This window comes from Homo sapiens, chromosome 6 (genome assembly GCF_000001405.40).
Source record: "Homo sapiens chromosome 6, GRCh38.p14 Primary Assembly".
NCBI lineage: Eukaryota > Metazoa > Chordata > Mammalia > Primates > Hominidae > Homo > Homo sapiens.
In genome coordinates, this window is record NC_000006.12 from 117400329 (window position 1) to 117414332 (window position 14004).

General features: G+C 39.4%; 1 protein-coding gene across 17 annotated transcripts in view; it reads right to left on the minus strand.

The window, feature by feature from the left end:
• The window catches only part of ROS1 (ROS proto-oncogene 1, receptor tyrosine kinase), a 138590-nt gene that overhangs the window by 112976 nt on the left and 11610 nt on the right, over window positions 1-14004 (minus strand). For all 17 annotated transcript variants that reach the window (XM_017011173.2, XM_017011172.2, NM_002944.3 and 14 more), the window contains 3 exons: window positions 9254-9314; window positions 3952-4100; window positions 2811-2949 (listed from right to left, as the gene is read on the minus strand). In XM_017011173.2, the coding sequence (XP_016866662.1) occupies window positions 2811-2949; window positions 3952-4100; window positions 9254-9314 (349 nt within the window). The remainder of the gene's footprint in view (window positions 1-2810; window positions 2950-3951; window positions 4101-9253; window positions 9315-14004) is intronic.

Genomic DNA, 14004 nt, shown 5'->3' on the forward strand with positions numbered 1-14004 from the left:
ACTATGAGGTTAGTTAGGCATGTGCTTTATCTCTTCTACAAGGGAGTAAGCTTCTTAAAGTATCCATGCATCTATAGATATCCCATGAATATATTTTGAACAAGAGAACAATAACATTTATTTAGAGCTAGAATTGCTCTAAGGATATATTAGTATTCAGAGGACAGCAGCTCAGATAAAGTTATATTCTGATAGGGCAACATTCTGTATAAAGGGTGGGAAAATGAGGAAGCAGGAATCTAGCAGATAAGAAGCTTTTTGTTGCTTTCCAGAGATAATGTCACTGTTTCATACTCAATCACCTTCATTTATGAAACACTTTTATCACTTGGCTTTGAGACACCACAAGCTCCTGAGTCTCTCCTTCTCCATGTCCTTTGCTGTCCCTCTTCTTCTTCCCAGCCACCAAATATTAAGGGCCCTTGGGCTGACACCTTGACCTTCTCCTTTTTTCAACCACATTCACTTTCAGCATATTGCCTCCAGGCCCATGGCTTGAATCACATCTCCGTGGTGATAACTCCTAAATTGGTAGTTTGGATACCTTCGACTTACCTCCTCAGTTCCAAATCCTTCCATTTAATTGCTTCCTCAGCAACTCCACTTGGATATCTAACAGACATCTCAAATTTTGCTTGGCCAAAACAGAACTGACGATTTTATCTAGGAAAGCCACTCCTCCTTTACCCTTGTCCCTGTCTCAGTAAATGATGACATTCAGGTGTTCAGACTGAAAGTCTAAGTTAGCAACTTTGATTTTCCCATCTTCCTTGCCAAATCCATTCAGCCACCCCAACAGCTCAATCTTCAAAATATATGACAAACCTTTCCCTGTTTTCCCATCACCATCCTTGTCAGAGCCATCACCAAATCAAGCCTGACTTGCTTGGCCTCCTAACAGCTCCCCAGCTTCCCTGGCCCTCCTTCCACCCTCCCAGTCTATTCTCCATGCATCAGCCATACTGAAAGTTTTAAAATTTGAACAAGTCCCTCCCCTCCTTAGAACACTCCAAAGACATTCTGTCCCACTTAGAATAAAATCTGTACTCCTTATCAGGGTCAGTATGGCCCTGTGCGACCAAGTCTCTGGCTATGTGTCACATCGCACTTCCTACTTTAAAATCTATCATCATACAATTTGGCCCTTATCAGAAATAATATTGACATTCCTGCAGCCATCTTCTGGCCGTTTTTGTTTTATCTTTTATTGGTTCAGAATTCAGACTAAGAAGAAGGATGCTATTCATTGGGTCTTCCCATAACCCAGAAAATACTTTTACTTAATTACTTATCGGACTGTCTTCCCTAGCTGGAATGCAAGCTCCATAAGGGTTAGGATTTTATCATCTTTAGTTCCTAGAACAATGTCTGGTATATAATAGTCCTTGATAAATACTTGAATGAATGAAAAAAGTGCGCAATCTTCCTTTCAATTATATTAAAAATATAATACAAAAAATAACAAACTTTTCAGTAAAAAAAAAAAAAAAAAAAAACAGGAGGTGAATTTTGTTACTGATGTTATTTTTCCACAGCCAAAGAAGTTTATAACCTAGGCAATAAAAAGACTAAAATTACATCAAGAAATAAAAATAGAATCCAAACATATCTATACCACACCACTACCACCCCTGGGCCTCTCACCTGGGTCACCACATGGCTTCCTACCAGTTCTTCCTGCTTCCTCCCACACCCCAGAGTTCATTCTCCATACAGCAGCCAGTTTTCCTTTTAATGTATAAGGCAGTTCGCATCAGATCGTGTCACTCCTCTCCTCAAAACCTTACAGTGACTCTCCTTCCAGAATAAAAGCCACATTCCTTACCAAGATCCCTGAGGTAGACTGGGTCTGGCCCCCATCTCTCTGACCTTAGCTGTTACTCCTCTGCCTCCTGCACTCTTGTTCAGCCACGTGGGCCTTCTAGTTGCTCCTTGATCAGGCCACAGATGTTCTTGCCTTAGGTCTTCCACACGGACCATCCCTCTGCCTGAAACTCTCTATGTGAGATAGCTGCCTGGTTGACTTCCTTGCCTCCTTTAAGTCTTTGCTCAAACTTTACCCCACCAGCTCACCAAGGCTCATTCTGGCCACCTTATTTCATACTGCCACTGGCCTCTCCTTCCCTCTTCACTCTTCATTTCCAATCCTCTAAATGACAAACCCTGCTCAAAATATTCCTCTTACTATAGCACACAGCACCATCCCACTTACAATATACTTTATTTATTTCTTATGTTTATTGCAGAATATTTCTGTTCCAACAACATGTGAGCTCCAGCTGGGCGAGGTGGCTCACGCCTATAATCCCAGCACTTTGGGAGGCCAAGGCGGGCAGATCACTTGAGGTCAGGAATACAAGACCAGCCTGGCCAGCATGGTGAAACCCCATCTCCACTAAAAATACAAAAAATTAGCCAGGCATGGTAGTGCATGCCTGAGTCCCAGCTGCTTGGAAGGCTGAGGCAGGGGAATCACTTGAACCCAGGAGGTGGAGGTTGCAGTGAGCCAAGATCACACCACTGCATTCCAGCCTGGGCAACAGAGCAAGACTCTGTCTCCAAAAAAAAAAAAAAAAAGAAAAGAAAAGAAAAAAGAAAGTGAGCTCCACAGGAGCAGGGGTCATTGTCTCTTTTGATCATAAAGGTATTGTGAGTACCTAGAATACTACCTGGCACATAGTTATGTACCCAGTTGTTGAATGGATCGATTAATAGGAAGGAATAGATTTATTTCATTGTTTAAAATAAAAACAAACTAAATCAAAGCTTTGGAATAATGTCCTTTCATAAGAAATGTGTGCACACCATACCTCCATGAGGATGAGTCCTGTAACTGGGACTTGGAGGGGAGTAGAGCTGCAGCTGCGCTGTGAAGATCCAAACCACTCGGAAAATGTACTCAGTGAAGGGGTGCAGGGGCTTGACCACATAGGACGGTCTGGACACAGTCTAGATCAAGGAGTGATCAATCATCAGCATTATAGAATCAGCACCCCACATTGGGACTAAAAAGCATAGATTAATTTGTAGAAGATGGATGGCTCAACAGAGAAGATGAAATAAGAGGCCTGGAGCTTAGAGCTAAGCCATTCAGATATCAGCGTGCAGAATTCACTCAGAAATTCTCCCCTTCAAAATAGCAAAATTATGGATTCAATTATTTGGCATTTACCTCAAGGACTTGAATTTTTCTATGTTAGTACACATAGTATCTTGGGACTATTTTTTTTTTTTCTAAACTTTCTCATGCTTCCCTAAAAGACACAGTCCTGGATGACCACCATAGACCGTACTTCTGAATTGCTACAACCCCCATGAGAATCTTTCTTCTGCCCTCCATCCTAGCTAGACTCATCTTAGCTGTGATGGGCAGATAATGACTAATGAGGTGAATGGTTACGTGATGCTGTACTGAAGGAATAGTATATATGTCCAACATTATATTTTCCTTATAAAATAAATATTTTCCCTATAAAATAAGCCTTAATGTTAAGGCTTAGCATTAGCATGTTACAGAGCAGCTGAGATTAAAGTTCATCTGAACCCAACTACCCATCTTACAGCTGAATCTTTTCTAGAAGGCCTTTACGCTTATAAGTAATAATTTGGCACTTTTAAAAATTGGGGGCAGGGCGAGGTGGCTCATGCCTGTAATCCCAGCACTTTGGGAGGCCGAGGCGGGCGGATCACGAGGTCAGGAGATGAGACCATCCTGGCTAACACGGTGAAACCGTGTCTCTACTGAAAATACAAAAAATTAGCCGGGCGCGATGGCGGGCGCCTGTGGGCGGCTGAGGCAGGAGAATGGTGTGAACCCAAGAGGCGGAGCTTGCAGTAAGCTGAGATCGCGCCACTGCACTCCAGCCTGGGCGACAGAGCGAGACTCCGTCTCAAAAAAAAAAAAAAATTGGGAAGGGGTCTGGGTTGAGGTACAAAGGCAGCCTTTCATACCTTAGTATAAGTCCAGCTTCCCAGAAGTTGTGCATATTTCCACTGAATGATGTATTTTACTCCAGAGAAGTTTGCAGATTTCCATCGTAATGTCATATTGTGGCTTCCAATGGAAGAAGCAAAGGGAGCAGTTGGTAGGTCTGCATTTTCTGGGGAAAAAACAAGATTTCACTCACCACGCACTCCTGTCCATCAGCGCAAGAGAGTGTGTGCCTCTCTCATCTAGGGCTCTCCGTATTCTCTTGCTAAAACTGCATCTTGCCACAATAACTCACTTGAATAATCAATGGTATGCATATTCAGTTTATTTTAAAAAATCAATCAGTCAGTCTGTCAGTCTTTTTTCCACAGAATTTATTGTTATCTTTGAACACAGTATTTTTTTGTTCAGGTTTTGCTTTTACAGGCAGATGACACAGAGGGTTCTGAGCTGTCCAGTTTTCTCTTTCAATACCACTCTCTTACAGGCGGGGGGAGCCAATGCTCAGAGCATGTCTGTGGCACAACAGAACCATCCATTATCCTGGGATGTGTACCCCAATATATTTCTGAAATTTTATACTCTAATTCTACTATTGCTGTGCATCTTAACAAGAAATTATTTTTTATATGTACAGAGCAATTGCCTTTACTCCAAAGGACACTATGATTGGCTGTTTCACATTATAAAATATTTCAGGACATCTAAACATTAGACGTATTACAATTGGCAGCAATTTCTCAGGTGCTGCTTGCCAGGCATGGTACTAAGGGCTAGATTTCTGAATGGTATGTCACTGGGATGAAATGATTTTACTCTACTTTTTATATTTTTCCAAAATTGTGATGAATTTAATGCTTCTGCTTTCTTTTATAGAAACAAAATCAGCACTCTGGTTGAGAAAGCATGGTAAATTTGGTAGGGAGCTTAAAATGGTTAATTACAAACTCCTGGGACCTTACTCTGGTTAAGAGAAAATTGACGCAATTCTCATCATTACCAACACCAGACACGGACCAAATAAAGTCTATACTCTGTAATCCAGAAAAATCAAGGCCATTGTCATCCGAGGACCTAGCCCACAAAGAGGCCTAGCACAACCCTTCTCTGCTTATTCTTCTTTTTATAGTCCATTTTTGACTATTATAACTGAATAAGCAAAGCACAGCTCCATTTTCCTTCCCTTTCTTGTTGTGAGACTCTCAATAGCAGGAATTAGGTATGCTGTGGACACCTTGAAGGGGAGTCCAATGATGGAGTTGTCAGCAGAGTGAGGAAAAATAACCAGGAGGCATCAGAAATGACAAAAGTTGAGAACTGGGCAGATGTGATCAGTTATATAAGTACAAGTAAATGTAAATATCATAGCTAAACATAGACATATTTCAAAGCCATGGTGATACATATGAAAAAAAAAAGGTAAAGTAGGTTTATGCTAAAATATCAAGGCAAAGAGAGAGCCAAATGAAAAAGGGAAGCTAGACTGAGCTCCATCCTATTTTCAGTACATGGCACAGTGGGTAAGAAAAGGCTCTGTTACCAGGCAGCTGGGTTATACTTTCAGAGATATCCCTTACCAGCTATGTGGCCTCAAGCAAGTATGTAAACTTTGTGCCTCAATTTTCTCACCTGTAAAATGAGGTTAATAATAGTATGTATAACTCTGAGGACAAAAGGAGCTAATACATATTAATTAATGAGAAAAGTGGTCAACTCATAAATGCCTAATAAAAAATAGCTATTTTTGGCCAGGCATGGTGGCTCATGCCTAGCTACTCAGGAGGCTGAGGCAGGAGGACTGCTTGAACTCAGGCGTTTGAGGTTACAGTGAGCTGTGATTGTGCCCCTGTACTCCAGCCTGGGTGACAGAATGAGACTCTGTCTCTCTCTCTCTCTCTCTCATATATATATATACACACACACATATACATGCATACATATTTTGTATATGCAAATATATATGTTTATTTATTTATTTATTATGTTATTAGCTATTTATTTAATATGTTATTAGCTATTACCATTTTCCATCATGTGAAAAGAGATATGGGAGGTATCTAAAGTGAACATAGCATACTCACCGATAAATGACCTAGAAATCAGATGTGTTAAAGACAAATAAGGTCTTAGGATCATGGATGAAAGGATTCATTATAACAGACTATAGATATGGTCTTTAAGTACAAATGTCTTTATTTAGACTTGGTACATCTCATTTGTTAGTGGTACATAGACATTGATCCATAGCCAATGAGAAAATAAAAATAAAGCATTGATTACACTTGTATTCTAACAGAATTGTATAATTAAGTTGGTAATATAATTTTAGAATATAATAAAGGAATGTAAATAAAAGATTCCACACTTCCTCAGTTCTGGTGTCCTTAGTTTCTCAGAAATTTTTTTATGGTTCCCTGAACCAAAAGAATTCTCTAACAGTTCGACTTTTTAAGTAGTATCACTTAATAAGTATGTGTTAATAGTCAATTTGGTATCTAATAATTTGGTAGATATTTGAAACAAATACGAAATTGAAAGATAAAACTGTATATTTATTTCATCTTTAAATAAAAATAATTGCATGCTAATGGGGCCTGTGTACCTGTTGGGCACTGCACAACTCCTCCAATCTTATGATCAGATTGGGTATCACCATCCAACAGATTTCACATATCTCTGTGTTTACCTTGAGTGTCTAAAATACTCCATGGCTCCTCATGAGATTGCTGTAATGGCCTGGAGCACATCAGTGCACAGCTTGGACCCCCATAAAATATACATTTTATCCACAGCTAATTCCCGTGACACAGAAAAAAAAAAATGTAATATCACTACCTCTCCACAGAAACGTCTAGGGTGTCTTTTGTGGGACACTAAAGGGCAGAAGCAAATCAGAACAGCAAGATAAGTTTCCCCTTCCAATTTCCATCAGCCACTGAGAGCAAGGAACAAGCCACTGAGTCAAGAACTACAACATATGGAAGAGCCAAGCATCCTTCAGACTTAAGGGAACTGTCTACAGCTCGGTGGGAGGATGCCCTAGGGAATTCTGGAAATGATATCTGCTGACATCCAAGCCATGACTTATCAAAGCGCTGGCCTGTTAGAAACTACTAGAGAGTTAACACACTAAGGCAAAGCTACTTTGACATGCCCAACCTATGCTGAAATCAGGCAGAGGGAGCTGATAAACACCCAAGCCCCCTACTTGCTCAAAATCTAACACTGAGAAGCATACCTTCTGTACCTTTTACAAATTTCTAGAGCCTTTTGGGGAGTCATACACACAGTACGCACTCTATAGGATAACTTTTAGCTGAATAATGAAAGGTGCATTCAATACAATATGCCTATACTTTCCAGTCATTAAAACATACTGCCCAAAGTAATTTACAGATTCAATGCCATCCCCATCAAGCTACCAATGACTTTCTTCACAGAATTAGAAAAACTACTTTAAAGTTCACATGGAACCAAAAAAATGCCCACATTGCCAAGTCAATCCTAAGCCAAAAGAACAAAGCTGGAGGCATCACGCTACCTGACTTCACATTATACTACAATGCTACAGTAACCAAAACAGCATGGTACTGGTACCAAAACAGAAATATAGACCAATGAAGAGAACAGAGCCCTCAGAAATAATGCCACATATCTACAACTACCTGATCTTTGACAAACCTACAAAAACAAGAAATGGGGAAAGGATTCCCTATTTAATAAATGGTGCTGGGAATACTGGCTAGCCATATGTAGAAAGCTGAAACTGGATCCCTTCCTTACACCTTATACAAAAATTAATTCAAGATGGATTAAAGACTTAAACATTAGACCTAAAACCATAAAAACCCTAGAAGAAAACCTAGGCAATACCATTCAGGACATAGGCATGGGCAAGGACTTCATGTCTAAAACTCCAAAAGCAATGGCAACAAAAGCCAAAATTGACAAATGGGATCTAATTAAACTAAAGAGCTTCTGCACAGCAAAAGAAACTACCATCAGACTGAACAGGCAACCTACAGAATGGGAGAAAATTTTTGCAATCTACTTATCTGACAAAGGGCTAATATCCAGAATCTACAACGAACTCAAACAAATTTACAAGAAAAAAACAAACAACCCCATCAAAAAGTGGGCGAAGGATACGAACAGGCACTTCTCCAAAGAAGACATTTATGCAGCCAAAAAACACATGAAAAAATGCTCATCATCACTGGCCATCAGAGAAATGCAAATCAAAACCACAATGAGATACCATCTCACACCAGTTAGAACGGCGTTCATTAAAAAGTCAGGACACAACAGGTGCTGGAGAGGATGTGGAGAAATAGGAACACTTTTACACTGTTGGTGGGAGTGTAAACTAGTTCAACCATTGTGGAAGTCAGTGTGGCGATTCCTTAGGGATCTAGAACTAGAAATATCATTTGACCCAGCCATCCCATTACTGGGTATATACCCAAAGGATTATAAATCATGCTGCTATAAAGACACATGCACACGTATGTTTATTGCAGCACTATTCACAACAGCAAAGACTTGGAACCAACCCAAATGTCCAACAATGATAGACTGGATTAAGAAAACGTGGCACACATACACCATGGAATACTGTGCAGCCATAAAAAATGATGAGTTCCTGTCCTTTGTAGGGACATGGATGAAGCTGGAAACCATCATTCTCAGCAAACTATCGCGAGGACAAAAAACCAAACACTGCATGTTCTCACTCATAGGTGGTAATTGAACAATGAGAACACATGGACACAGGAAGGGGAACATTACACACCAGGGCCTGTTGTGGGGTGGGGGGAGGGTGGAGGGATAGCATTAGGAGATACACCTAATGTTAAATGATGAGTTAATGGGTGCAGCACACCAACATGGCACATGTATACATATGTAACAAACCTGCACGTTGGGCACATGTACCCTAAAACTTAAAGTATAATAAAATAAATAAATAAATAAAAAAGAGAGAAAAAAAACTGGCATTCTCTGACATCAAGTCTGCTCAGGATGTACATTTGTCTGTCATTAAGAGAGAAGTGAGTGTACCTACTGAACTTGAGGACAAAATCTGGTCCTAAACATTAGTCATGTACTGTTTACTCTGTTTTGTTCTGAAAGAAGAATCTTGCTGAATTTTATCAGAATGGCCTATACGTTTGAAATTATTGAATTCTCTAAATAGATATTTTTGATCATATTGAGATGCAGAAATCAAGATGTTTTGAGAGGTGTTTCGTTATCTTTACATAAGTACAAGTCACTAGAGTGGTGCAGCCTATTTTTTAAAAGTCGTGTGTGTCCTCTTACCCAGTACTTCCTCTTCATATGCACCTTCCGCGCTGCTACAGCCAACCTCACACGACTCCCGCTGTGGAAGACAGGGAGCATGACAGTCAGGGCAGCCTTGATACTGGTTTTGCTGATAAGCTTCAACTAAATTTTAAAATCCGAATGCCTAATATGCAAGTATATCTTTGACCAATATACGAGTAAATCTTTGAAATCGGAGTGCCTAATACGCAAGTACATCTTTATGTCAACTATTTCCCCTGCAGTAAAATTCCCACTTGCTAGACTGGCATTTCCCAAACTTTTGACCATGCTCCATAGCAAAAAATAATTTAACAAAACAACTTAGTACACACATACATGTTGAAAAAAAGATTCCTGAAATGATCCTTACTTTTCCCTCCATTTTTAGAAGTTTTATTGAAATATATTCACCTGCCATAAACTCACGTATTTAAAGTACACAGTTCAGTGCTGTTAGAATATTCAGAGTTGTGCAATAATCACCACAATCTAATTTTAGAACATTTTCGTTGTCCCCAAAAGAAACCCCTTGTCTCTGATGTGCTCTTATATGTACAATGATATTCTATTCTATTGTTTCATTTTGTTTAATGTGACTCTTGGTTGGCTGAATTGATTTGACGACCCTCTAATGTGTCACATCGTATGGTTTGAAAAAACACTGAGCTTAGCAGTACAATTATCTGCTTGCCATTTTGGTCAATGTTTTAATGAGCTTAAAATCTAAAACTTTAGAGTAAAATGATGCTTAGGGATTACCTATTTATTTTATATATCCCGGTCTTCCTTGGAAAATTAAAAGTGGACTATAAATTTGTAGAGTAGCTGAATATTTCAATGAATATCTTTATACCAATGCTGAGTTTTAAAATCTATGAAAACTTAATGATATTTACATTTTATCTCATTAATGAAAAACACAGTACATAATTTGATGACTGAAACACAAATTTCCTGCAACTCTTAACAGATGCATTAACATCAGCTACAAAACACACACACACATACTTGCAGAAAAGGCGCATATTGTAAAACTACAACACAATCATGATCAATCTTCCTGCTGTCTTTCAACTTGTAACTATAATACCTAGGACAACATGCTATTGTTTCTCATGGTAATAGCGGAAAGCAGGCACAATACATTTGCCCTAAAAAGAAGAGCTATAACTTGCAAACATGAACAGTTCAATGATTGATCTGCATACTAAAAGGAAGGGTGCCTGATAAGCCCAGGTTTGCTTAGGTAAGGATTAATTTAAATACCTCAGTTTGGGTTTGGAATTATTTAATTTCAAGATTTAGTATACGTTTCGCATCCTGTTTACATATTTTAGTGAAGCCTTCAACATATTTATGAACTGCAGAGAATAAACAAACCAATTCACAGCAAAATTATTATATAACATGAGGGGTTTTTTTCCAAAAAAGAAAACTGAGGAGAAGAGACGAGATGTATTTGGAAATACAGATTATTTTGAAATATAGGTAGTCTTGACAATCAGGAGAAATTGTGGTCCTGTTTTTTCTGATATTTTCAGGGGAAATCGATAATAAAATTCCCATCCTTCTGGGAGTTTAAAAGTTATCTCAAGTGGAGGCAAAGCTAACAACTACGTTTCCTTCTCTCAATCTCTCTCTCTCTCTCTCTCTCTTTCTCTCTCTCCCTCCCTCCCTCCCACTCTCTCCATCCCCCCACTCCTTTCACCTCCCTTCACCCCGCCCTGAACCATGGTGGCAATTCAACATTGGACTTCAAATAAAGTTATCCAGTGTTTCTCAAGCTTGAGTTGCCTAGAGAGAATCTAAAGATGGTTGGATTTAAGGAATTTACAGAATCTGAGCCTGAAGCCTCTGGATGGGACATTCATGTGGAATATTCCACGTTACTGAGCTGCCATTCCCACAGTGGAGGCCAAGTATACTCTTCCAGGGGCTACATCAGCTTGCTCTCTCCGTTCCCCCACATTCCCATCTTCCTCATCGTAGTCAGTCCATCTTTATTGTCCCTCTGGCTCCACCCTTGGTTTCCCAGACTGGCACACAGGCTGCCAGTGCCCTTTCCAGCTTCTGTAACACTAGGAAGCCTCGCCCACTGCCCTCCATATGAACTGAGGCATTGTTCCCTTAAAAATTATTCATTCATTCATTCAAGAATATTTGAACAATTGGCTTTTTTCATGCCAAGCATGGTTTTGGGATCTAAGAATATGACAGTAAGCAAGAAAGTTAAACTCCCTGCCTTACAGGACTTCCCTTAGAAGGAGGTAGATAATAACTGAGTGACAAATTTTTAAAAAGAAAAAATAATTCTGATAATGAAAATTGCTAGGACGAAAATAAGTCAAAGGCACAGGTATAACTAGGCAGAGAAGGAGACTTTATTAGGGTGATCCAAGCCAAGACTTCAGTCATTAGGAGGAGCTGGGCTTGCAGAGATTTGGGCAAAAGCAGAAGCAACAGCACGATGAAAACTTTGAGGCAGGAATGTGTCTTCTATGTCAAGAAAGAGGGAAAGGTCAGTGTGGCCAGCACAGAGACCAAGGGGAGAGTATGAGATGAAGTCAAGACAGGCAGGCAGTGGAGCTGGTAGACCTTTGTATTTTGTAATTTTTTCCAAAGAGCAGTAAAAAGCCATTGAAATGTTTCAGGTACAATAAGATCAATTGGCTATAATAAGATCTATTTTGACTATTTTATACTACATATATAAATATATATGTATATATATTCTTTTGTTTCATTCTATATATAGCTATATAGCCAAAGGCCAAGATGCAATGATAAGATCTAATTTGTGTTTTAATTATCAGGGACAAGCCATCTCACTAGCCATCGTCATTTTCCAAGTTCTATTTCACTGAGCTATCACTTTCAAGATTATTCTTTCCAAGAAATAAGAATTGCAAAAATGACAAGCTTCCTACGTTCAAACATCAATGAGTAAGGAGTTTGATTTCCTAAAGGTGTGGATAACTGAGGTGATAGATAGATAGATAGGTACATAGATAGATAGACAGATAGATAGATAGATAGATAGATAGATATACACATAGCATGTATTCCTGTTCAGTTCTACTTTATTTAAAGTGAAACATTTTAAAGTGTAAAATAGCAAAGTATAAAGAGAAAGAATAGTTATACAAGTTATAACACTGAGAGGAAAGATTTACACTATATAATCACAGAAAACTGAGCAGCATAATGATTAACAAAGAATTAGCACATTACAGATCTAATCCTGGGCTGCTTCGATGCTTTAAAGGCTCTCTCTCCCTGATTTTCCTGACACTGGTACATTTATCCTAGGGACTATTCTTTGGGGGTAATTTTGCTTTCATCACATAAAAGGATTTGCAGGCAATTTTTTTTTCTATCTCAATGAGGAGAGACCTTTGTCTCTTTACATATGGGTGACTTTTCTCCTCTGTTTTCTGTCTCTCTTCTTAGCCAACCCTCACCTCCACCCATTCCCAAGAAAAATTGCTCAGATGCAATTTTTATAACCAACCAGTAACAACTGAGAAAACATGCCAATTTAATTTTTTGTTTGTATTTTTGCTCTCTATTAAGAGGGAATTTTTTCTGTTTTACTAATGAAGGATAATTTATACTGCTTCCCCAGGCTTCTGGTTACCAGTTTCAAGGATATTTAAAAAAGAATACAACATAGGTTTTAAAGTTTTTTTTCTTTAGGGGACAGTCGTGCTATGTTTCCCAGGATGCTCTCAAACTCCTGACCTCCAGCAATCCTCCTACTTGAACCTCCGAAGTAGCTGGGATTACAGGTGCACACCACCATACCCAGCCAACATAGGTTTTAAACTGATAAATAATGTAGCTTCTTCATATCATCTATTGTCAAATAACCTTATTTTGAAGGGATGAAATACAGGACAGGTAAGTTCAGCTGAAGACTAAGTAGGAAACATCAAAACGTCAAGGTCTCTTTGAAAGAGAGAAAATCAAGTGTAGCAGAGGTTGCTTAGAGCACCGTAAGGACACCTGGGCAGGGCAGTGTGAGACATTACTTACCATTGGGAGAAGGGGTGGGTAGAAGCTGTCTTGCAAAATGTTGGCAAAGGATTTTGTTGCACAAGAAAGAAAATTACGGCCAGGCTTGGTGGCTCATGCCTGTAATCCCAGCACTTCGGGAGGCTGAGGTGGGTGGATCACTTGAAATCAGGAGTTCGAGATCAGCCTGGCCAACATGGCAAAACCCCATCTCTACTAAAAATACAAAGTTAGCCAGGCATGGTGGCACATGCCTGTAGCCCCAGCTACTCAGAAAGTTGAGGCAGGAGAATCACTTAAACCTGGGAGGCAGAGGTTGCAGTCAGCCGAGATTGCACCACTGCACTCCACCCTGGGTGACAGAGTGAGACTGTGAGAAGAAAGAAAGAAAAGAAAGAGAGAGAAAGAGAGGGAGAAAGAGAGGAAGAAAGCAAGAAAGTAAGCAAGCAAGCAAGCAAGAAAGAAAGTTGCAATTAAAGGATTCTCTTTTAATGTCCTATATTTAATGATAGAGCACTATACATTGTGGGGAAGAAAATGGAATCAGCAGAGATATCTCTGAATGTGCCTCTTCCTTCTCTCCCCTCCATTACCCCAACTCCAACTCTGCCCAGGGTCCAGGGATTATAACCTCCCAAACCAGATTAGAGTAATATATATGCAAATGGTGAATGTGTGTGTATGCACATAGGAACATATATATTATATACATGCACATAGATACATAAAAC